The sequence below is a fragment of the Homo sapiens genome, chromosome 14 (assembly GCF_000001405.40).
Source record: "Homo sapiens chromosome 14, GRCh38.p14 Primary Assembly".
NCBI classification, from domain to species: Eukaryota; Metazoa; Chordata; class Mammalia; order Primates; family Hominidae; genus Homo; species Homo sapiens.
Window position 1 is genome coordinate 31,435,144 of NC_000014.9, and position 24,843 is coordinate 31,459,986.

General features: G+C 39.9%; 1 protein-coding gene and 1 long non-coding RNA gene across 2 annotated transcripts in view, besides 4 other annotated features; one reads left to right on the forward strand and one right to left on the reverse strand.

Annotated features, from left to right (window-relative positions):
• Nucleotides 1-17,740, forward strand: part of HEATR5A-DT (HEATR5A divergent transcript) — a 32,126-nt gene extending 14,386 nt beyond the window's left edge. The window contains exons 3-4 of the long non-coding RNA NR_110045.1: nt 10,501-10,591; nt 16,964-17,740. This is a non-coding gene — a long non-coding RNA (HEATR5A divergent transcript). The remainder of the gene's footprint in view (nt 1-10,500; nt 10,592-16,963) is intronic.
• Nucleotides 10,893-22,363, reverse strand: DTD2 (D-aminoacyl-tRNA deacylase 2). The gene is made up of 3 exons (NM_080664.3): nt 22,140-22,363; nt 18,132-18,201; nt 10,893-13,311 (listed from the first exon to the last, which is right to left on the reverse strand). Exons 1-3 carry the CDS (start codon nt 22,248-22,250, stop codon nt 12,986-12,988), a joined length of 507 nt encoding a protein of 168 aa, NP_542395.1. The 5' UTR covers nt 22,251-22,363; the 3' UTR covers nt 10,893-12,985.
• Nucleotides 21,382-21,967: an enhancer, noted in NCBI's record as "NANOG-H3K27ac-H3K4me1 hESC enhancer chr14:31925731-31926316 (GRCh37/hg19 assembly coordinates)". NCBI's record gives its function as "activates a minimal SCP1, AML or CMV promoter by ChIP-STARR-seq in primed H9 embryonic stem cells {active_cell/tissue: H9 hESC(primed)}" and the evidence as "EXISTENCE:reporter gene assay evidence [ECO:0000049][PMID:30033119]".
• Nucleotides 21,968-22,553: an enhancer, noted in NCBI's record as "NANOG-H3K27ac-H3K4me1 hESC enhancer chr14:31926317-31926902 (GRCh37/hg19 assembly coordinates)". NCBI's record gives its function as "activates a minimal SCP1, AML or CMV promoter by ChIP-STARR-seq in primed H9 embryonic stem cells {active_cell/tissue: H9 hESC(primed)}" and the evidence as "EXISTENCE:reporter gene assay evidence [ECO:0000049][PMID:30033119]".
• Nucleotides 21,998-22,207: an enhancer, noted in NCBI's record as "active region_8234". NCBI's record gives its function as "activates an Ori minimal core promoter by ATAC-STARR-seq in GM12878 lymphoblastoid cells {active_cell/tissue: GM12878}" and the evidence as "EXISTENCE:reporter gene assay evidence [ECO:0000049][PMID:35858748]".
• Nucleotides 22,348-22,527: an enhancer, noted in NCBI's record as "active region_8235". NCBI's record gives its function as "activates an Ori minimal core promoter by ATAC-STARR-seq in GM12878 lymphoblastoid cells {active_cell/tissue: GM12878}" and the evidence as "EXISTENCE:reporter gene assay evidence [ECO:0000049][PMID:35858748]".

Consider the following 24,843-nt stretch of genomic DNA (forward strand, 5'->3'; position numbering starts at 1 on the left):
TGGGACCACGGGCACATGCCACCGCACCCAGTTAATTTATTTTCATTTTTTTGTAAAGATGGGGTCTTCCTGTGTTGCCCAGGCTGTTCTTGAACTCCTGGGTTCAAGTGACCCTCCCTCCTTGGCCTCCCAAAGTGCTGAAATTACAGGCATGAGCCATCATGCCTGGCCCAACTTCTTAAAAGCACTAGTCTTCTTGAATTCTCTTTGTCTAGTCTGTTAGCTCCTTGCTGATTTTATCCTTCCTTGCCAGTTTGGATTTATGAGATCAGTTGTTTCAGCTACATTCTTACTAGCACTCATAATTCCTTCCACTCCATGACCTTAATACATTGCATCTCTTCTGCCAATCTCTGAATGTGAATCAACTCAACCATCTGCTTTTTCCAATCTGCTCTTGGACTGCCAAGAAAATTGCATAACTGTGCTTTCTACTTTATAGCATTAATTATGATTTAACCACAGCTAGTTGGTTTGATTACCCATTTCCTATAGTAGCTATGTCAAATATTCACTACTGTCCTCAAGCCACTACTTCATGCCATCATCCTCTCTCCAAGATAATCAAGTCCTATGTTTTACCGCAAAAGTAGATGGCACAATGTCTGAACTCCATCAGAGCTCTCACCGGAAACTCAGCCATCTTTCCTCCTACCTGAGAGGATACTCAAAGTTTTCTAATAACATCCCTCTATTTTTGCTTTTGATATGAGATTTTGCTCCATAAGTTATTGTGTCTCTTCTTTCTTCAATTTCACTATCTACTTCCTCTTGCTCTAAAAATATGCTAACATTTTTTGTATCTTAAAAAAAAATCCCCTTAATACTGCTGTCCTACAAAACTACTGTCTTCCATCTCCTTCCCTTCATCTATAACTTCCTGAAAGAATTTTCTACACTTTTCTATTTTTATATAAAAGTCCCATTCATTTCTCGAGATATTTGGCTTACATAATTCCAAGGGACCTGCACTGAATAATGTTCATAGTGACCTCCTAATTGTAAATCCTATTTTTTTTTTAAATAGTACTTTCTTACTCTAGTGGATTGTTCTAGGATTGGACATTGTTCACCACAAACCACTTGGATAGAAATTCTCCCTTCTCTTGGATTCTCTTCTAGTTTTGTTTTGTTTTGTTTCTAGGTTTCTTTCTAGGTTTTTCTTTACGTCATTCTCTTCTAGTTTTTCTCCTACCTCTTTTTCCACCCCTCTTCAGCCTCTCAATATTATCTTTCTTTTGTTGTTTGTTTTTATGTTTAAAATTTTTTTGTAGAGACAGGGTCTTGCTGTGTTGTCCAGGCTGGTCTCAAACTCCTGGCCTCAAATGATCTTCCTGCCTCACCCTCCCAAAGTGCTGGAATTACAGGCATGAACCACCATACCTGGCTGATGTTATCTCTTAATCTACCTCTTTGTTAAACATTTAGTTTCTTATTGTTTCTTAGTTGATATCTTTTCTACACACTCTTTCTGGGTAATGTCATCCATTTTGGTGACTTTTTTTTTTTTTTAAGGGTACAGTTCAGTAGTGGTAAGTATATGGACATTGTGAAACAGATCTCCAGAATTTTTCTTTTTTTTTTTTTTTTTTTATTATACTTTAAGTTTTAGGGTAAGAATTTTTCTTAGTACAGAACAAAATGAAAAGTCTCCCATGTCTACTTCTTTCTACACAGACACGGCAACCATCCGATTTCTCAATCTTTTCCCCACCTCTCCCCCCCCTCCACTCCACAAAACCGCCACTGTCATCATGGCCCGCTCTCAATGAGCTGTTGGGTACACCTCCCAGACGGGGTGGTGGCCGGGCAGAGGGGCTCCTCACTTCCCAGTAGGGACGGCCGGGCAGAGGCGCCCCTCGCCTCCCGGACGGGGCGGCTGGCCGGGCGGGGGGCTGACCCCCCACCTCCCTCCCGGACGGGGCGGCTGCCCGGGCGGCGGGCTGACCCCCCCACCTCCCTCCCGGATGGGGCGGCTGGCCGGGCAGAGGGGCTCCTCACTTCCCAGTAGGGGCAGCTGGGCAGAGGCGCCCCTCACCTCCCAGACAGGGCGGCTGGCCGGACGGGGGACTGACCCCCCGACCTCCCTCCCAGACGGGGCGGCTGGCCGGGCGGGGGGCTGAACCCCCCACCTTCCTCCCGGATGGGGCGGCTGGCCTGGCGGGGGCTGACCCCCACCTCCCTCCCGGACGGGGTGGCTGCCGGGCGGAGACGCTCCTCACTTCCCAGACAGGGTGGCTGCCGGGCGGAGGGGCTCCTCACTTCTCAGACGGGGCGGCTGCTGGGCAGAGGGGCTCCTTACTTCTCAGACGGGGCGGTTGCCAGGCAGAGGGTCTCCTCACTTCTCAGACGGGGCGGCTGGGCAGAGTTGCTCCTCACCTCCCAGATGGGGTTGCGGCTGGGCAGAGGTGCTCCCCACATCTCAGACGATGGGCGGCCGGGCAGAGACGCTCCTCACTTCCTAGATGGGATGGCGGCCGGGAAGAGGCGCTCCTCACTTCCTAGATGGGATGGCGGCGGGGCAGAGACGCTCCTCACTTTCCAGACTGGGCAGCCAGGCAGAGGGGCTGCTCACGTCCCAGACGATGGGCAGCCAGGCAGAGACACTCCTCACTTCCCAGACGGGGTGGCGGCCGGGCAGAGGCTGCACTCTCGGCACTTTGGGAGGCCAAGGCAGGCGGCTGGGAGGTGGAGGTTGTAGCGAGCCGAGATCACGCCACTGCACTCCAGCCTGGGCACCATTGAGCACTGAGTGAACCAGACTCCGTCTGCAATCCCGGCACCTCGGGAGGCCGAGGCTGGCAGATCACTCGCGGTTAGGAGCTGGAGACCAGCCCGGCCAACACAGCGAAACCCCGTTTCCACCAAAAAAATACGAAAACCAGTCAGGCGTGGTGGCGCACGCCTGCAATCGCAGGCACTCGGCAGGCTGAGGCAGGAGAATCAGGCAGGGAGGTTGCAGTGAGCCGAGATGGCAGCAGTACAGTCCAGCTTCGGCTTGGCATCAGAGGGAGACCGTGGAAAGAGAGGGAGAGGGAGACCGTGGGGAGAGGGAGACCGTAGGGAGAGGGAGAGGGAGAGGGGGAGGGGGAGGGGGCCAGAACTTTTCATCTTGCAAAACTGAAAACCCTATACCCCTTAAACAACAACAACAAAAACCCGTTTTCCCCTCCCTCCAGGCCCTGGTAACTATCATTCTACTTTCTATTTCTATAAATTTGACTACTTTAGATATCTCCTATAAGTGAAATTATACAGTGTTTGTCTTTTTGTGACTGGCTTATTTCACTTAGCATAATGTCCTCAAGTCTCATCCATGTTGTAATATGCAACAGGGTTTCCTTTTCAAGTCTGAATAATATTCCATTGTATGTGTATACCACATTTTGTTTATTCACTCTTTGATGGGCACTTGTGTTGCTTCTATGTCTTAGCTATTGTGAATAGTGCTGCAATGAACATGGGTATGCAAATATCTGCTTTCAATTCTTTTGTTTATATACCCAGAAGTGAAATTGCTGGATCATATAGTAGTTCTATTAGTATTTTGAGGAAGCACCATAGTTAACTTTGGTGACTTTAACTACCATATGTGCAGCTAACTTCCAAATCTATATCCCTTGCCTTAATCTGTCTCCTGAAATATACTGATATGAGGCCCAAAAGGAGGGAAATATGTTTTATCTTTGTATCTCTTGTTTTTGTATCTACTTGTATACTTGGTATACAAGTAGACTCTAAATAAATTCTTGTTGAAGAAACTATGCCTTTTTAATTCTGAGTGTGAGGGAGCTAAAGTCCAAATTTTTTTCCATTGATTATTGTGTAAATCACTGTTGTAAGCTTCTTAATGATGGTCACTGCGCAGTATACTTACCTGTTTGGTTATAATGCCTACCAGTGCTTTACACATACAAGGTAGCAAGTATCTCACTCATTAAATCTAGTAATAATTGCAAATATTTATCAAACTGAGTAGCAGTGGTTCAGTATTGAAATGCTTGCAAAATTTCTCTTTCCTGTTTCTAAATTAAAACATAAGGGGAAAATATGGGAATTAATATGGTATCATGATAATCCTATACATATTTTAGGATAAACACAAATCTGTGGGCCATATAGTGATGAACACTTTCTGGTCATAAGACCTCAGTAAAATAGAACATGCCGATAAAATTTTCAGAAAAGTCTAGGAAATAGCAAATTTATATCACCACTGGGGGGAAAGGGATTTTTTAAAAAAAAACCTTGTTGAAGCATATGGGCACTCACTATTATTTATGAGATGATAGCAAGTGTACTGAGTAACATTTTAAACAATATTCTGAAAACATCTTGAAACAAAAATTCAGCGCAGATTTATAAAGCAAAAAAAAGCAATCTAACACCAACGTGATTGAGGACACAAAATTTAATCATTGCTTAAAGATTATCAGATATTTCTCTTTCACTATTGAACGGAGATTTAATACTTGCAGTAACTTCTGCCAACTCAGAACCCTGAGAAAATAAGTCACTTTCTTTACAGAAATAAGAAGAAAAAAAAGGATATTACCAACAATGGAAGAGGAATGCAGAGTGGCAACAGCTCCAAGTGGACCTGGCAGACTATGAACACTAGAATCACCAAGGAAACATGGAGCTATGAAATGGCAAAAGGCTGTGTGAAAACCCTGACGCTTTTTGGTTCAGCCTTTAAAAACCAAATGAAAACTCAAGAGATACAAGAATGTGGTTATTTTGATGAACAACTCACAAACTAGTTGAATTAAAAGAAACTGGTTCAAATGAACACAAACCTAAACATTTTTTCAGTTCGTCTAATTAAAGTCTAACCAATTCCTTCTAATTTAAAAGATCCAGTTTTGGATATATCCAAGACTAAAACACAATCTTATCAAAGTCTATTTAATATGGTGTAAATCTCACGGGAACTGTGACTATCTTCTCTCCCAGTCTAAACCTTGTGGCTTTTCTGATTGCTTTTTATAATGATTGATGTTCATATCTCTCGCTTATTTTATAAGAAATAAAGAAAACAAAGATCATAAACTCACACACAGAAAAATAAAAGACACAGTTTTTTGTTTGTTTTGTTGAGACAAGGTCTCACTGTATTGCCCAGGCTGGTCTTGAACTCCTGGGCTCAAGTGATCCTCCTGCCTTGGCCTCCCAAAGTGCTGGGATTACCACACCTGGCCAGCAATACATTTTTAAATGAAGATTCACTACCCTAGCCAAAAGTGTCTTCTCCTTCTGCAGCTATTTTATTAATAAAACTCACTGATAGCATTGTCCAGACATCAGAGACCACATACTACCTAGTGCATTTTTGTGGCTAATGTGTCCCCTACTAGATGGTAAATTCCTTGGGGCTAGTGATCATATCTTAAACATTTCACACAGCCCCTAGCTACACTGCTGACCTGCAGATTATAAAGACCACAACATTTAAGTGGAAAGCAAGTATCCATTATGCAGTATTAAGCAAATGTTAGATTTTCAACATATGGGTTTTAAAAGGCAAATATGTATATAATGAAAAGAAGTAAAAGCCCTGTGGCTGGGTGGGGTGGCTCACGCTTGTAATCCCAAAACTTTCGAGGCTGAGGTGGGTGGATCACTTGAGGTCCGGAGTTCGAGACCAGCCTGGTCAACATGGTGAAACCCCATGTCTCAGGATGGGGAACATCACACACCGGGGCCTGTCGTGGGGTGTGGGGAGGGGAAGGGATAGCATTAGAAGATATACCTAATGTAAATGACAAGTTAACGGGTGCAGCACACCAACATGGCACATGTATACATATGTAACAAACCTGCACGTTGTGCACATGTACCCTAGAACTTAAAGTATAGCAATAAAAAAAAAAAAAAAAGAAACCCCGTGTCTACAAAAAAATACAAAATTAGGCCAGGCGCAGTGGCTCATACCTGTAATCCCAGCACTTTGGGAGGCCAAGGTGGGCAGATCACGAGGTCAGGAGTTTGAGACCAGCCTGTCCAAAATGGTGAAACCCCATCTCTACTAAAAAAATAAAAAATTAGCCAGGCGTGGTGGCCAGTGCCTGCAATCCCAGCTACTCAGGAGGCTAAGGCAGGAGAATCACTTGAACGTGGGAGGCGGAGGTTGCAGTGAGCCAAGATCACACCATTGCACTCCAGCCTAGGCAACAGAGCAAGACTCTGTCTCAAAAAAACAAAAAGCAAAAAAAACCAAATTAGCCAGGCATGGTGGTAGTCACCTGTAATCCCAGCTACTTGGGAGGCTTAGGCAGGAGAATCGCTTGAAGCCCAGAGGCAGAGGTTGCAGTAAGCCAAGATCGCGCCAAGATCGCACCAAGATCACTCCAGCCTGGGCGACAGTGAAATGTGTCTCAAAAGAAAAAAAAAAAAAAGAAATAAAAGCCCCGAGGACTTTCAGAATGTAATCAGAAGAAAAAATAATGCAGGCATTGAGCAAACTAAACTTAAAAGATGGTCATGTTTGCTCATAGACATACCTTGGGGCTGCTAAGGAAATCAGAAGAATGCCAGGAATAGAAAGTGTGCCTTAGCCTATCTACATTAGTACAAGGTTGAAGTAAACAGTCTCTCAAAGTTGGAGCCAAGGGTTACATTTTCGCTAGTATGATCAGACATTTTCTAAAAAAACTCCATACCTTCCCTTAAAACAAAAAAAAAGCCCACAATTACTTTCCCAACCTCAAATGTTTATGGCAATAATAGCTAATGGTTCTCAGATACTGTTATACAGGGTGTGGTGCATTCTCCACATAAATTCTTCTTTTCACATTCAGATAAAAGGCTGATGTAATAGGTCAAATTTTATTAAGCTTCTTAAGAGAAAAATGCTGACTAACCCAGTGTGAAGAATTCATTCACATGGAAAAGTCCAGTAAAAAGAAGTAGGGTCATATTTATCTTAAAGTTGGCTATTTGTGATGTATCCCACATAACTGCTTTATTTTGTGATTAAATATAGAAGGGTTTTAATAAATCTTGTTTCATCAAAATTCATATTTGTAAACAAAATAAAGATATTTTTGCATCATAGAAAGTTTGCTTTATGAAAAGACTCAAATATAGGTTTGTTTGTTTGTTTTTTTTTCTTATTTTGAGACAGAGTATTGCTCTGTCGCCCAGGCTGGAGTGCGGTAGTGCCATCTCGGCTCACTGCAACCTCTGCCTCCCAGGTTCAAGTGACTGTCCTGCCTCAGCCTCCCGAGTAGCTGGGATTATAGACACCTGCCACCAAGCCCGGCTAATTTTTGTATTTTTAGTAGAGACAGGGCTTAGACAGTATAATGGTAGGCAGATATAATACAGTGTAAACACACTGTACTATGTACACTAACACACTATACTATGTCTTCCTACCATTATACTGTCTCTGCCCAATATTACTTATTCTCTTGCAGTCGACATATTAATATAAAAAATTAAAGCCAAAGTACTTAATCTTATAAAATACATCACAAGCATCAGGAGTGGCACAATCATAACGCCAAAGGTGGTAGAGGCAGAAGAAATTACTATGGGGTCAGAAGAGACTGAGTAATGATGGATTTAGAGTACAGAAAAGGGCAAGTTAGGTAAGGCCATGATCTAAGAAAAATATAAATAGGGCTATACTGGAAAAATACAAATAGAGGTATACTGGGAGTAGCGGGAGAAAAGGTGAGACAGTTGAGCTGGAGCCAGATTATAAACCGTGATACCAGCCTTAGAAGCCTGGGCTTCATTCTGGTTAACAGTGGTTCTGGGATTCCAGTGTACACAAGAATCATCTTGGGGAGAGACTGGTGACTAGACAGATTTTAACTCCTGAGATTCTAATTTAGTATGTTTGGGATGGTCCCAGAAAACTGCATCTTAACAGGTGATTCCAGTACAAAGACACACTTTGAGACACTCCACCATAGGACAAATGATTAAGAAACTCTACTATTAACTATTGCAAATATGCCAATTCCCCATATGCTGTGAAAATATTCAATTGCATCCAATTTTTCTTTGTTATTTGGCACTGACTTTGTCACTGTTTACATCTTGAGTGAATTTGTTTAACAATGCGCTTTTCGGGGTAATATCCACGATCTACAAAGAACTTAAACAAATTTACAAGAAAAAATCAAACAACCCCATCAAAAAGTAGGTGAAAAAAGTAGGATATGAACAGACATTTCTCAAAAGAAGACATTTATGCAGCCAACAGACACATGAAAAAATGCTCATCATCACTGGCCATCAGAGAAATGCAAATCAAAACCACAATGAGATACCATCTCACACCAGTTAGAATGGCAATCATTAAAAAGTCAGGAAACAACAGGTGCTGGAGAGGATGTGGAGAAATAGGAACACTTTTACACTGTTGGTGGGACTGTAAACTAGTTCAACCATTGTGGAAGACAGTGTGGCAATTCCTCAAGGATCTAGAACTAGAAATACCATTTGACCCAGCCATCCCATTACTGGGTATATACCCAAAGGATTATAAATCATGTTGCTATAAAGACACATGCACACGTATGTTTATTGCAGCACTATTCACAATAGCAAAGACTTGGAACCAACCCAAATGTCCAACAATGATAGACTGGATTAAGAAAATGTGGCACATATACACCATGGAATACTATGCAGCCATAAAAAAGGATGAGTTCGTGTCCTTTGTAGGGACATGGATGAAGCTGGAAACCATCATTCTCAGCAAACTATTGCAAGGACAGAAAACCAAACACCGCATGTTCTCACTCATAGGTGGGAACTGAACAATGAGAACACTTGGACACAGGGTGGGGAACATCACACACCAGGGGCTGTCGTGGGGTCGGGGGAGGGGTGAGGGATAGCATTAGGAGATATACCTAATGTAAATGACGAGTTAATGGGTGCAGCACACCAATATGGCACATGTATACATATGTAACAAACCTGCATCTTGTGCACATGTACCCTAGAACTTAAAGTGTAATAAAAAAATTACAAACAAACAAAAAAAACCAATGCGCTTTTCTGGTTCTCTGACTCTCTGAAATCTCTATCGTCTCCTCTGGCCTCTCATACTTTGCCGTTTCTTTACATGTTATTTCTTAAGATTCTGATTTTAGTCCTCTACAGATCTCCTTGAGTGATTTCATTCACTCCTAAGGCGTATAGAGAATGCTGATGCCAACCTCAGAAGATTAGACTTTGTCCTGTCGATAAAGAGGAGTTATAGAAGTTTCTAAGAAGTAGAATATCATAGAGAAAGACATGTTCTGGGAATATAACCTTGGAGATGGTCTGCAGAAAAGGAATGGGGATAGGAGAAACAGGAGGTAGGGAGAATAGTTATGAAACTATCAAAATAACTGTTTAAAGTCATCACCAAGGGATGACTTCAAAACGAAAATGTTACTTTTCTAGTAGTTCTTCCCTTTAAGAAACTAGTCTTATTTCAATAAATTAATAGGCAAGACCCTTCTAAGGACATTGGAATTTCATTATCTTTTTTTTTTGCTATACATTTAACTATAATATAACAAATTAGGTCCTCTGCAATGTTAATCACAGATAGTAAAAATCTGACATGACATTGTTCTATTATAACATCAATGTGAGTTCTTTTCTAAAACAAGTGGCATGAAGGATTTTATAGTATTGATATTGATATCTGATAAATTTAGTTCTTTCATTATGGAGTCAAGAAATCATCACTAGTACAGATACTATTCAGAAATAAATGGTATACCTTCTTTTATGACTTGAACTCATGAAAGAATGGTAAAAGTATGTTTGATTTTACTTTATATGAAAGTACTCAAGCTATTACAACCATATCCATTGTGTCTTATACACAATGGAAAATATAGTATTTTCTATAATTGAATCCAGAGGTTTCTAAATTGGCAGATAAAATAGTACCTGTATTTAGATATTCTATTTGAAACATGCTTTAATCTTAGGAAAACAGAGGCAGAAAGCACCTAAATTAGGTGCAATCCTGTCTGCTCCTAATTTAGAAAATAAACCAATTTATTGGCTATTCTTTCTCAAGTGATCCACATTGAGAGATGCTAGGTCTTTATCAAGATCAATTTCAAAATTTTTTTTTTTTTTGAGACGGAGTCTTGCTCTCTCGCCCAGGCTGGAGTGCAGTGGCGCGATCTCAGCTCACTGCAACCTCTGCCTCCTGGGTTCAAGTGATTCTCCTGCCTCAGTCTCCCAGGTAGCTGGGACTACAGGCGCCCGCCACCACACCTGGCTAATTTTTTGTATTTTTAGTAGAGATGGGGTTTCACCATGTTAGCCAGGATGGTCTCGATCTCCTGACCTCGTGATCCACCCGCCTCGGCCTCCCGAAGTGCTGGGATTACAGGCGTGAGCCACCGCGCCCAGGCCAATTTCAATTTTTAACAACTGTCACTACAAGAAAGTCAAGAAAATAGAAATTAGTCCTCCCTCTTGTGTGACCTTGGGGAAATTCCTTAAGCATTGTCTTACTTTCCACAGCGCTATCCTCATCATACATATACTGTGAAGATAAAATATCTGTTGAAGATTCTTTGAGCACCTTGGGCCAGAAGAGCTACAGAAAGCCAAGGTATAGTTATTTTCATATCCACGACTTCATTTGCCTTTTCCCTTGTTGTAGCCTCTCTGGAAATTAAGCAAAGATGCCTATCACCTTCTGCTTAATAACCCTTCATGTACTTGAAATTGTTATTCTCCCCAGGTACCTCAAGCACATTTTTTAAAGAGGATTGCCTAAACTCTAAAACAGCAATCAAGGGCTATGAGTCAGCATTTCACCTAGACATAAAATCAAAATGGTTTAAAATAGGTAACATTATCTTTTTGAAATATGTACATACCTCTTTGGAGAAACTTTGAGACAACTGGAGTTTGCAAGTTTATGAATAGTTTATTACATTTCAGTAAGTGTATTGTGAATCAATAAAGCAAAAGTTAAGGACAATGAGCTCATTACCAAGCCAGTTATTGATTCTCTGGTTCCAAAATAGAACAGTACAGGAAGGGTATAGAGAAAATAGGATTTTTCATGATAAAAATTTTAAGCATCTTAGGAACACAGACCTAAAGAAACTATAAGACACAACGGAAATTTCAGCAGCTACTTAGGATGTTTATTTATTTACCTTTTTTTGCCAATTAGAATTAGTTATTTGGTTTTTACTCTTAAAAAAAAAAAGTATTTTCAACTCAAGTCAGAGGAGTTTGCCAAAACTGAATATTACCTCTTACTGACTTAATTATTCTTTCAATTTCTTGTATATCTTCCTCTCTTGCCTTTGAAAAGTTTACCTTACTAGCTGTCTATCTTATATCACTGTCGTAGCTCAGACTGCCCTAACAAAATACCATAGGACTGGGTGGTTTAAACACCAGAAATTTATTTCCTCACAGTTCTGGTGATTAGAAGTTCAAACTCAAGGTGTCAGCATGGTCTGTTTCTGGAGACTACTTTCTTTCTGGCTTATATGTTCCAGGATGGGATGGTTGGAGGAGCCCCATCTCCAGATACCATCACATTAATAAGGGCTTCAACATATAAATTTTGGGGACGGGAACATCTAGTCCAAAACATTCACTAACAGAAAAATTGACACTGGCTCCATATCATCAAGCAGATAATATGGAAATGAACAAGTCAATTTGTTTTCAAACTATTCTTATGGGAAGCTTCCCTTTTTCTCCCTTTTACAGCAATCTAATTCAATGGAAAAGGAACTTCTTAAACAATTTATGAACTAACACTAATTTCATGAACCAGTTCTTTAAAAAGCGAAGACAAAAAGTGAGACACATGATTTTGGTAAAAACTGAAAAATAGACCATTAACCCATTTATATAGTATGTTTAATAAAAACAACTTTTAAACCCTTATACTTTGTTCTTATATCAAGTAAAGATTCTTAAAGTAATGTAAAACATTTGAATGTCCCTGGAAAGTAATATAACACACAATAACCCTTCTATATTACATATATATCTATATGTATATGTATATGTTAGAGACTGGGTCTTGCTATTCTGCCCAGGCTGGTCGCAAACTCCTGGGCTCAAGTGATCCTCCCACCTCGGCCTCCCAAAGTGCTGGGATTATAGGCATGAGCCACCACATTTGGCCCTATATTACATTTTCATGCATATTATTAAAAGAAATGGTGACTTACATATGGAAATACAGAAAACTGAAATAGTAAACAAAATTAACAAAGTTATAATTGGGTTGTGCTGAAGTTTACCTAATTTTAATACAAATAGTTATTTTTATTACATGCTACACAAATTTGATGGTATAAGAAATGTGTTTTTCTTGTTTGCATGAATTTCTTCATTGCAAAATACTTAAAATGTACATAATTTTTAAAAAACAACTAAGAGGCCGGGCACGGTGGCTCATGCCTGTAGTCCCAGCACTTTGGGAGGCCGAGGTGGGCGGATCACGAGGTCAGGAGATCGAGACCATCCTGGCCAGCACGGTGAAACCCCATCTCTACTAAAAATACAAAAAAATTAGCTGGGCATGGTGGCATGCGCCTGTAATCCCAGCTACTTGGGAGGCTGAGGCAGGAGAATCGCTTGAATCCAGGAGGTGGAGGTTGCAGTGAGCCGAGATTGCGCCACTGCACTCCAGTCTGGCGACAGAGCAAGACTCCATCTCAAAAAAAAAACAAAAACAAAAAAACAATTAAGAACATTTCCTTAATGACTATGAAGTGAATAGACAGCATATTTCAAATTTTCAAGTAGAAGGGTAGAGGAATGTAGGACAAAAGGTGACTGAGATCCAGAGTTTAGGTGACTTGGCAAAGTCATCCAATTAGCAGGTGCAGAGTTATATATGAAACCCAAGATTTTCCTGTCTAAAAATGCTGAAGATTAGTATATTCAAGATTAAGGGGAAGAAAATCTAATTATACTTTAGATCATTTCATACCAGAAAACAGCTATAGAAACTAGTTTTTCATTTTCAAAACTCAATTAAGTGTGTGAATGGTCCGTTGGTGTCCAGCTTTAACACCTGCCTGTTCCCATAAGTGCCATGTTCCACTACAACCCTAGCTTCAGCACACTTGCTATTAGCAGCTACTTCTTTTTCACATAGAGTCACAAATTGAGAGTAAAGTTCAAACCCTTCTTCTTTTCCAGAGTTAGAGTGATATTGCATGTTTCTTCCTTTTAGTCTTCCTCCAAGGGTAGCTTGAGGGATAATAAGAATGTTGCCAGGTAGATCCAATATAGAGACATGCTTGCCATTTTCTGTCTCACTTAATTTCACATTTAACAGTGTATTAACTGGGTGAGGAAGAAAGGCAAAACATTTTAAAGTGAAAAACAAACATGAAGAAAACCATCAAGTTTTTAGTCAGCAAATCTCATGTTTAAAATTCAGTTTGTCAGCTCATGCCTCTAACCCAAAGTCTCTATTTAGATTTAAAATACTGCTTCACTAAGCTAAATAATCTAAGCATGAAAAATAAGGCAATTTTCATGCAGAAAATGGCATGATATTTTAAATCTGAATTGGCAGTTAAGATAACCTAACAATAAGTTCATCCAGAAAGGTCTAAAGAATTAACTGTACACTGGAACCTCAAATATTGTTCCCCTGGGGGAATACATGAGAAGATTTTACCTTCCTGTTCTTTTTATTTAGTAAGTAAATCCCACTGGAAAAATATGAGGATAACTCCTCCTCACACCAAATTCTGCTTGCTTGCTTGCTTGCTTTATTTATTTATGTATTTATTTAGAGACAGAGTCTCACTCTGTCGCCCAGGCTGGAGTGCAATGGCGTGATCTCTGCTCACTGCAACCTCTGCCTCCTGGGTTCAAGCGATTCTCCTGCCTCAGCCTCCCAAGTAGCTGGGACTACAGGTGCGTGCCACCACACCCGGCTAATTTTTTGTATTTTTAGTAGAGATGGGGTTTCACCATGCTAGCCAGGGTGGTCTCGATCTCCTGACCTCGTGATCCACTCGCCTTGGCCTCCCAAAGCGTTGGGATTACAGGCGTGAGCCACCACGCCCAGCTAAATTCTTCTTTATAATGGAATATCAAATAACAATTTTAGCGCAGTTATTATTTTAAACTTAGTTGCCAAGAGTTTTAAGCAGAGACAAAGGTTCCTGTTTCAATCCCAATATAAACCAGCTAATTTTGTTGTTTAATAACCTTAAAGGCAATATGAACATGGACTAATCATTGTATAAATATTACTCATGAGAGAAGGGTAAAGGTGAAAGCAAGAATCATCAGAAATTCATTGTTACAACTGAAAAAGTAAATAAAAAGATATAAAGCTATGGCATTATCTTCATACACATATACGAAAACGTGATATTATTTTTGTAGCATTCGTGAGATTTCCTATAGCTAATAAGAAGTGTCGAAACCACCATAAATATCCATATATAGCTAAAAGCCTAAACTTAGAAAGCCTTTATACCTCAACATTAACCATTTTTGAAACAATAAGCAAAAGAAGTGTCTAATATAAATAGACCTAGGGTCTCCCTACCTCTATAAAGGTATACATGACTTCTGTTTGCAAAGAATAGTCCTGAGAGGGCAAATGGTAGAAGGAACTACATAAACTTCAAGACACCTGCCCTCAAATTAGGCATTAAAAGGCATGCTTTCTGTTGGGGTAGCTAACGGTTTTAATTATTAGAGGGTCTGTAGTAAGTATTCATATGGTTACCCCTCTCTACAAATCATGGAATTAATCTGGTAAAAACCTGCCAAGGCGAACACCCAAATGAATTCCTAAGCTAGGCATTAAGCATCATCAATTTTCACTTAACTAACATTTATTTTTAAATACCTCTAGTTTTCTCTATTACAAATAGGACTTTGCTGTTTAGCCAGCAGTCTTTATTGACTGCTTGTAAGGAAACTTTCCAGGGCACTTCATTCCACTCGAAATCACTATCTAGCTATCTAGGCCTCCAGCTAGTGACAGAGTAAATAGGCAATTTTGGAATAACAGGCCTGAGAGGTAATGCTACAATTTATTATGTTTCCACATACCTCCCTCTACTGGCTATAATTGAGATTTCAGTTAATGCTGTTGGCATACAAATATCAGTATGTAGATAAATACAATGTAGAAACAGTAAGTAGAATTAAAACGAGACAATGAATTAATGGCATGCTGGAAACTCAAATATCCTAAAACAGGTTATCAATCAAGTATCTCTAATGATGTATAGGAGATGTTAAGCTTTGACAGGTTTCTTGCCCTCTCTGTCCAATTATACTGAAGGTGAATTGAGGAAGATTCTACACATCTCTATGTTAACCATGCTATTTCAGATTTTGCAGATTTAACTGGTTATTATATTCTCAAGTGATATATGCTTTGATTGGAAATATCTGAATCTATGTAATAAATATGAGGTGAGGCTTAAGAGAATCCCACCACATTGACTTACTTAGCCTGCTGGAATAGAGGGAAGTACAAGCTAATACTATTAATAATAGATGGACTTACTTTGCTTACAACTCAAACGAGTAGAATATGATTCTTAGAGTCATATATTTCTTTACTGAAAATCATGATATAAAAAATCATGTGTTAGATAGTGTCAGACCATCCACAAGAGTCAGGGTGGACCTCCTCAGTGTTTTAAATTCACTACAATCTTATGCATGTATTTAAAGTGAACTCACAAAGACAGATATGGAAGCACACAGGATTTAATCACTATAAAATAACATGTGGTTTGGATATGATAGGCATATTTCATCCTATTATGATGAAGAACCATTTGAGAATTCATAAGACAACTTTATGAAGTCAATCTTAAGTCAGAATGACAAATACTTTCTTCCTGTTTTTGAAGATTTCTACATTTTTTATGGACCAAAAAAGATTTAATCCAAGGCAAAATATTAATTTAGGAAAGTGGACAGAATGTGTAACACTCCAGCATTAGGATCTGACAATTATTCTCTGTAATAGGAGTCCTCATTACATTATGTTCTTTTTTTTTTTTTTTTTTGAGATGGAGTCTCCCTCTGTCGCCCAGGCTGGAGTGCAGTGGCGTGATCTCGGCTCACTGCAAACTCCACCTCCTGGGCTCATGCCATTCTCCTGCCTCAGCCTCCCGAGTAGCTGGGACTACAGGCGCCCACCACCACACCCGGCTAATTTTTTTGTATTTTTAGTAGAGACGGGGTTTCACCATGTTAGCCAGGATGGTCTTGATCTCCTGACCTCGTGATCTGCCCACCTAGGCCTCTCAAAGTGCTGGGATTACAGGCGTGAGCCACCGCGCCTGGCCTCTCTCTCTCTCTCTTTTTTTTTCTTTCTTCTTCAGACCAGAACATTATGCTCTTAACCCATCAGAGGTTCCTTATTATCTTCTGGATTCAAATTTCAAACTATTGCAGTTACTGGCTTTCCATTCTCACCTAGCATAGTCTCTTAAGTCTGGTTTTCATCTTTTGACAAAGTTGTCAGACATGTTTGATATGTCAGTATAAAATTCCCTCTAGGAGTTTTAGCTTTTTGTCTAAGCTCTTCCTCATTGGCCTATTTGCCCTTGAAGCTCTTCTAGGTTTTCTGTAAGCTTCAACTGCCCATTTGTATAATTAATATTTCTTATTAATCCAACTTATTAATGGATGCTGTCCTTTACTAATGAGGAGAATACAACCTGTTCCCAACCTTAAGGATAGCTTTTCTTTCAAGTTTGTATGTATGTTTGTTTGTGGATATAATCTTTATATCCAAATACTGTCCTGAGAGGGTATGATTTGATTTGGTATATCTGAACCTATGTAATTATCACATGAATTGCTATAGCTATGTGAGATAGTGTATATATACATATCACTATACAGTGCTATAGCCCGTCCAGGAAACCAGAAAGCTGCAGGTAGGTAAATTACTATTCAGAGATCCCTAACATTGACTCTGTTTTCCATGTCCTTGGAGGAGGTGTGGCTGTGATGACACTGAATTCAGCTCAAGACCCAGGAGAACCTTACATCTATTCTTATTTCCACAAGGAAGTGCACACATGGCTAATGCAAATTCTTCCATAATAATGATATAAACTTGAGTTGTCCAGGTTTGATGAGACCCACATCTTGTATATACAGTGTCATCTACTGCCTCTGTTAGGGGCTCTAGGGGATAAAGGAAACTATATTAAGAAATGCAGCATCTGTTTCTCCCTGTGTGACCACCCTACTTCCAAGAAGTTTCTGTATCCTTGGCTGAAGTGCACTGTGTGTATGTGTATGTGTGTACACTCTTCTACATCAATCTGTAAGTCACTGAAATGCTGCAGATGTTTTAAAAAAATTCCACCATACTTGCTTACTTTAAACTTTGAAACAGGCAAATAGCTAAGGCCAATAACACTAGATAGAATTAAGTAATTAATAATTTAACAGCACAATTTAACATTGTGCTTCTTAGGATGGGCAGGGATTGGTTAATGGATACAAAATTATAGCTAGATAGGAGGAATGAGTTCTGGTGTTCTGGAGCACTGTAGGATGAATATGGCTAACTATAATTTATTGTATACTGTCAAAAGTCTAGAAGAAAGGATTTTAAATGTTCACAACACAAATAATAAATTTTTGAGATAATGCATATCTGGTTTGATTGTTATACATTGTATACAGTATTAAAATATCACTATGTATCCCATGAATATGTAAAATTATTATTTATTATTTTAAAAATAAAAGGGGAGGAAAGAGATTGTGCTTTTTGTCCCTTCGGGTTCATTTGTCTATTACTATTCTTTCTCACTCTCTTTTTTTTTTTTTTTTTGAGACAGGGTCTCACTCTGTTGCCCAGGCTGGAGTGCAGTGGCACCATCTCGGCTCACTGCAGCCTCGACCTCCTGGCCTCAAGTAATCTTCCAGCCTCAGCCTCCTAAGTAGCTAGGACCATAGGCACAGGTCACCGTACCCAGCTACTTTTGTTTATTTTTTGTAGAGAAGAGGTCTTACTATGTTGCCCAGGCTGGCTTCTAACTCCTGGGTTCAAGTAATCCACTTGCCTTGGCCTCCCAACGTGTTGGGATTACAGGTGTGAGCACCATGCTTGGCCTCTCACTCTTAAAAAAGAAACAAAGTCAAACACATACCCATTTTGGGAAGAAGTTCTTTATCAGCTCCCTTGAAAAAGCACACGTAGATCACCAGTCCTCTTTGGACCTATGAGAAATCACCACAGTAAACTCAGATTACAACAATATCTGTAAAGATACAGGGCTAAATGGGTACAGTTTCACAACTATTAATATTATAGACATAGAGGTTAAAAGCACAGAAAATGAACTTTACAAAAGATTTCTCATGTGAGAAAACAAAATATTTTTCAATTTTCAATCATCTCAGTTATTTCTTTCAAATTTAAGTTTAAAATATACCCAAGAGCAGTGAAGACAAGTTATACCTTCAAACATTTATTTCTAATCAAAATCATTAAGAGGATCAACCAGCCTTTTCTCAAGTAAGGGTGACAGACTTAGAAACATTTCGTTTGCTGGGCCCCATTTATTCAATGCCAAGTGAATTCACATTATACCAGATACAGCTGATGGATAAACAACATGTGACTGATATCTTTTGACATCATCTCTCTTTATTTCCCCTAATCCATTTACTTACAAATAATGAAAATAAGGGTCTGATTCTATTTCTATAAGCTCCAGGAAACTGTCCAATTATTTGTTGTTGTTGTTGTTATTGTTGTTAATGCTTTATATAAACATGATTAGGACTTGAAAACTGCATTTGTGATAGTAAATTCTACATTAAAAGGTTGGTTGTTATCAGGAATATAGGCTTATTTATTTTACATAATGGCTTGGATATTTCTTAGATCTTGTAGGACAGAGACTATACAGAAAAGAGACATTTGAATAGTGACTTTGATTCTGCTTCTGAGTGAATCATTAGATTTTTTTGATTCTGTAAATTAATCTTGACTCCAGGAGCTATTAGGAAGATTAAATGAGTTAACATTTGTAAAGTACTTAAACACAGTGCCTGGTTCATAGTAAGTGCTATATTAGTGTTTATTAAATGAGTATGTAAAAATAAATTTAAGGGCAGAGGCACAATTTATTTCACATTTTAACTTCCAAAGCACTTTACAGGCTGTTTTGTACACGATAGGGATTCAGTTTATCTGTTGATTGCATTAACATTCAACTATATGTTCCAGGCTCTATGCGTTATCCAAAGAATTTTCTAGATAAATGTAAATGCAGCTCTGCACTCACACGTGATTTACCTGGAAAAGAAGTGAGTTTTAAAAAGTACAATCGTGCTACTGAAACAATAGGCAAGGGCCTCCAATGCATACCCACGAGAAGCTGGCAAGTTATTATAGGTATTTGCACTACTGTCACAGGCCTCTCCACTAGTATTGTTTTCATCATGAATCGAAATCTTAAGCATATTTATATTTGGACACATGCAATGTCAGAAATAAATACCTAATCATTTGCAGAACGATACCTGTTCTTTCCACTAACATTATCTCCTCATTAAGGTCTTTGCCTTTCATTTATTCCATAATAGATGTTAAGCTGTGACTTCAAGTCAAAAATCACTTTCCTTATAACTTCTTTGGTATAAAACATTTCAAATATATAGAAAAATACAGATAATTCTCACTGTAGCTTTAAAAAGTTCACTTACCAGGAACAAAAACATTAGTCTGTGACAGCAAAGTTCTAAATGAATGAAACTAAGAACAAGCAAAGAAAGTAACCTTCAAATCTTGACAATTAAAATGCTGTTTCTAAAAAAACAAGAACTTTTAATAATAGAACAGGGTAGAGAATATGTAAGAAGAAAGAATTTACATTTTCTCACCATCTAAATTACTTGTCAGCTCTTTAAACTAATTTAGTTATGTGTGTAGGAGTGAAAGGGAAAGCCTTTAAAATAGTTTTTAAGTTTATAAACACAAACTGATAGTTTGGATGCCAGCAATAAAATACATGTGATTTTGCATAAGGAGATGTAGCCTGAACAACATAAAAAAGATAAATAAGCATGGAAGGAAACTAAATGACTGATAGTTTGCAATTATAGTGTCTGGATGCAACTATAAAAATGGATAATTCGGCCGGGCACGGTGGCTCAAGCCTGCAATACCAGCACTTTGGGAGGCCGAGGTGGGCGGACCACAAGGTCAGGAGATCGAGACCATCCTGGCTAGCACGGTGAAACTCCGTCTCTAGTAAAAATACAACAAATTAGCCAGGCGTGGTGGTGGGCGCCTGTGGTCCCAGCTGCTTGGGAGGCTGAGGCAGGAGAATGGCGTGAACCCGGGAGGCGGAGGTTGCAGTGAGCCGAGATTGCGCCATTGCACTCCAGCCTGGGTGACAGAGTGAGACTCTGTCTCAAAAAAAAAAAAAAAAAAAGGATAATTATTTTATTTATTATTTATTTTTGAGATGAGGTTTCACTCTGTGGCTCAGGCTGGAGTGCAGTGGCGTGATCTTGGCTCACTACAACCTCTGCCTCCCGGATTCAAGAGATTCTCCTGCCTCAGCCTCCCGAGTAGCTGGGATTACAGGTGCCCGCCACCAAGCCCGGCTAATTTTTGTATTTTTAGTAGAGACGGGATTTCAACATGTTGGCCAGGCTGGTCTCAAACTCCTGACCTCAAGTGATCCGCCGGCCTTGGCCTCCCAAAGTGCTGGGATTACCGCGCCTGGCAGGTTAATTCTTTAGATAGGATGGCAAAATAAAATAATAAAATTTCAAATAAGGAAATCAAGACCTCACAAAAAATCATGACAAAAATAAGAAATAAGAAAAGTGAATTTCTGGGAAAGGAGAGAGATAAGAATACAGGAATTTCTATGCTTATATTTCCAAATTAGCACAGGGCAACAGATTCTGATTTTAGAATAATCACCCACACATCATATAGTTCACGGGTACTATTTACAATAAGTAGGCGGGGTGCGGTGGCTCAGGCTTGTAATCCCAGCAGTTTGGGAGGCTGAGGCAGGTGGATCACCTGAGGTCAGGAGTTCCAGACAAGCCTGGCCAAAATGGCGAAACCCCGTCTCTGCTAAAAATACAAGTTAGCGTGGTAGCTTGCGCCTGTTGTCCCAGCTACTCGGGAGGCTGAGGAAGGAAAATTGCTTGAACCCGGGAGGCGGAGGTTGCAGTGAGCCGAGATCGTGCCACTGCACTCCAGCCTGGGCGACAGATCGAGAATTCATCTCAAAAAATAAAATAAAATATAAATAAATAAAATATAAAAAATAAAATAAATGTAAAATAATAACTAAAATTGTTTTAAGTAATGCTAGATCTGGGACCGAATTCAGCAGAAAAGGCGAGCGAATGAGATTTTGCTACACTGAAGTTTCTGAGTATCTACAAAAGTCTTAATTATGAACTAATTTTTTTCTTACATTTCAACGTACTCCAAAAATACGTCAGAGGCCTTAAAGAAAATTTTATTTGTTTTTGTATGCAGTGGGGGCAGGCGGTCTTAAAAAGTAAAGTATGTATGAAAGTAGAAGGAACTCATAGTGACATAAATGTTTTAAATTCTTTGGAGAAATGTGTTTGATAAGGCAACATTGTTATAAAAGTAGAGGTCTTTGTTTCTCAGTTGGAAATTGGTCAAAACTTTTAAAAGGCTTCTTGAAATAGAATTGTTTCTTAGGAAATCTCATTTCTATGCTAAGACCAAGTCAACATAGGGGGGAATTCGACGCGATCTGAGGCGTAAGTCAAAGCAGATCATGAACTCTTGCAGCAAACCTGACCTACAAGCTTGCCCCCGACCAGCATAGACCACGAGCTGCAAGGGGTCTGAGACAGTAAGGCCTGAAGTTCACCGAACTCAGTTTCAAATACCTGTGGTCCCCCCAAGAAGGGAGACACGCTCTTCCTCTCGGGTGCTACAACTGGCGCTGGGGAACGGTGATGCTGGACCGAAAAGACAAGCGCAGCCAGGCAGGCCACCGCGGCCAGCTTCAAGCTGACCCGGTATCCCCGCGGCCGGACCGCCGGTCTCAGAGGGAGACACAGAGCGGACGAGTCACCGAGACAACGCGGAAAAAACCGCCCCGCACGCCGGAGGATAACGAGAGCTGCCGGGCTGACGTTACCTCCACCCACTGGGCCGCGACGTCCCCATCGGCTGGGCGAATTTGCAGCCGGGCGTGCAGGCACTGCTGTAGGAGCGCCCGGGCCTGAGGAATCCGGCTACCCTCAGCCATGGCTTAAGCCAGCGCCGCGGCCGGACAGTTACTAGGCCATGTGTCGCTGGCCCCTCCCTCGACGCGCTGGCGGGGCAGACGAGGCGGGGCACGACGAAGGGCCTGCGCCGATTGCCCAGTGGCCCCGCCCTTAGGAGGGCGGGGCCTCGGACTGACTCTCGAATGTCCCGGATGTGCGGTCTTGGAGGCCGGCGTAGCGCTAAGCTTCTCGGCAGCACCTGCCCAACTCTGTAGAAGGCGCTCAGTGTATACTTTTATTAAACGATTGAAAAGACTCGTTAAATCTCTTTCCTACAAACCTTTTAAGAAACATTTTTCACCTCAGAAAGCTTAGGTTCCAACTGTTGAAAAATTTTAAATCTGCTTGATTTAAATTCATGTTATGCCCATATGAAAGTAAGTAAACAAATAATCGAATCATAAAGCAAGCGGAGATGGAACTAAAAGCTATATATACATCCTTCAAAATTTTCCTTATTCCAATCAATAAAAACAATGCTGCCTCCTCTATCGGGAATGCCATAAATTATTCTGATTCCACAGTTGTGAAAAGGTATTGGTATGCTATACGAATACACATTCTTTAGAAGATATCCTTGTTAAAAATGTTCTTATCCAAGAAAGTATGATTGTTAATAACTTAGCCCGCTACTAATACAAAAATAAAACAGCTTATTCTGATGCATATGACGTAAATTCTGTGATGCATTTTCTGGAAGTACATATTAGAATGTAAATAAAACTAAACAAGGGCTTGATTTTCTTTCCCATGTAACGTATTCCTTAAACATGCATCAGATTAGCATTTATTTGTCTATGGGCTTGGATGGTTTAGATGAGGAATAATAGTGTTACCCTGATTGCATTACCCAGGTCATTGATTTGGGCTCAGTTGACACAATGTGCCTATACATTCGGATCTGTTGTTTAAAAAGATGACATCACTGACAGTGTTGCTATCCATACAAAGTAGTGTGACTGAAGAAAATAGTCCATGCATAATCAACAGTCCTTTGTACACAAAATCGAAGCTGCTTGTTTGCTGGTTATCTTGCAGCCAGGTTTACACTTTTAGTAAAAACAGAAAGCAAAATCTCACATGATCTCTGATTGTTGCATTGCAGGGATTCCAACAGTTGTTGACATTTGTCTGCAAAGCACAGACAAGTTGAATTGCTTCATGTCTGCACCTTTATGTCATTATAACTACTGAGTCTCTTTTCTCTCCGGCTCTCAGATTCAGATTTTACAGGCCTGAAAGAAACTTTGACATACAAACCATTAGCTATGTCCCAGAATAAGAAAAGACTTTGGTGTCCATTTGTATGTGGCTGCAGGAAATAGGGAGGTCTATAGAGAATAGGTTATGTGGTTCGCAGAGATCTTTCTACAGAGAGGGTTTCTTTAACAAATTGGGAAACCCTTCCTGTGAGTAGAATAGATGGAGTATGGATGGTAATGGTTAGCTTCTCAAAAATCACTAATTACTTTAAACCCTCCTATTGAGTGAGGATCTCGTGGACATTGCTGTAGGTACTGTAATAGGCTGTGGCTCACTTATTTTTTACTTCTATTTGCAGAAGGCTATAGAGAGTGGCCACCAAAGACAGCATTTCCTTTCTGTATTTTATTTTTTGAACACTTAGTTTCATTCTGCAAATAATTTAAGAAGGAAGGACATGCATGCAATAAAATAGTAAAATGTGAATTAAAGCATTAGAAATAAAGAAACTAGAATTATGTCAGTAAGCCACAATGGGGGAAATTGAAAACAGGTAAGACAGTGGTTCTCAACTGGAGTGCTGAGATGATATAGTATGCAGCAAAATTTTCACAAATGTATAACTTTAATTTTTGTTATAAAACAATTATGTTCATTGTATGTAGTATTGAGGTGCTGTAGGTTGTACAATTTGTTTCAAGTTGGAACTAAAGGCAAAGCATAGCATTAAGTTGGCTTTACAAGAAGATGGTGGTTCACTGGAATGTGAGAGAGCTTTGCCTTGTCATTGTATGAGAAATCATTGAGCAGAGATAATTCTCAAACACCTACAATGCTGAAAGTGTACCATATGGATAGGGGATTAATTGTGGATGGGTTCTATGTCCTCTGAGATGGTACAATAACTAATTTAGTGTTATTTTACCTTCTTTAATTCATTTAAGTTGGCTGCCCTAAATTCTGGCATTCAAAGTATTTCACAAACATGAAAAGTTTGAGAACCATTTCTAAAAGATTCCTTAGAGTTGATGCTAAGCTTCCTGGTTGTAAATAGGAGAGGATAGGGAAGGGCAGTATAATCTATTTCATAGTTCTAGGGATAAGCAGAGCTTTTCCTCAGATTTAGCTCTCAGCTGAGCCTCTTACCTGAGACTTTATATAGGATATGTTAATAAATACAAGTGCAGGCCTGGCGAGGTGGCTGATGCCTGTAATCCCAGCACTTTGGGAGGCTGAGGTGGGTGGATCACGAGGTCAGGAGATGGAGACCATCCTGGCTAACACGGTGAAACCATTTTTAGTCTCTACTAAAAAATACAAAAAATTAGCCAGGCGTGGTGGCGGGCACCTGTAGTACCAGCTACTCGGGAG

Coding starts and splice junctions, on each gene's coding strand:
- DTD2 (NM_080664.3), bottom strand. CDS start 22,250: ATGGCTGAGGGTAGCCGGATTCCTCAGGCCCGGGCGCTCCTACAGCAG. Junction 18,202..22,139: donor TCGCGGCCCAGTGGGTGGAG/GTAACGTCAGCC, acceptor GATTTCTCATAG/GTCCAAAGAGGACTGGTGAT. Junction 13,312..18,131: donor AGAACTTCTTCCCAAAATGG/GTATGTGTTTGA, acceptor TTCCTCACCCAG/TTAATACACTGTTAAATGTG.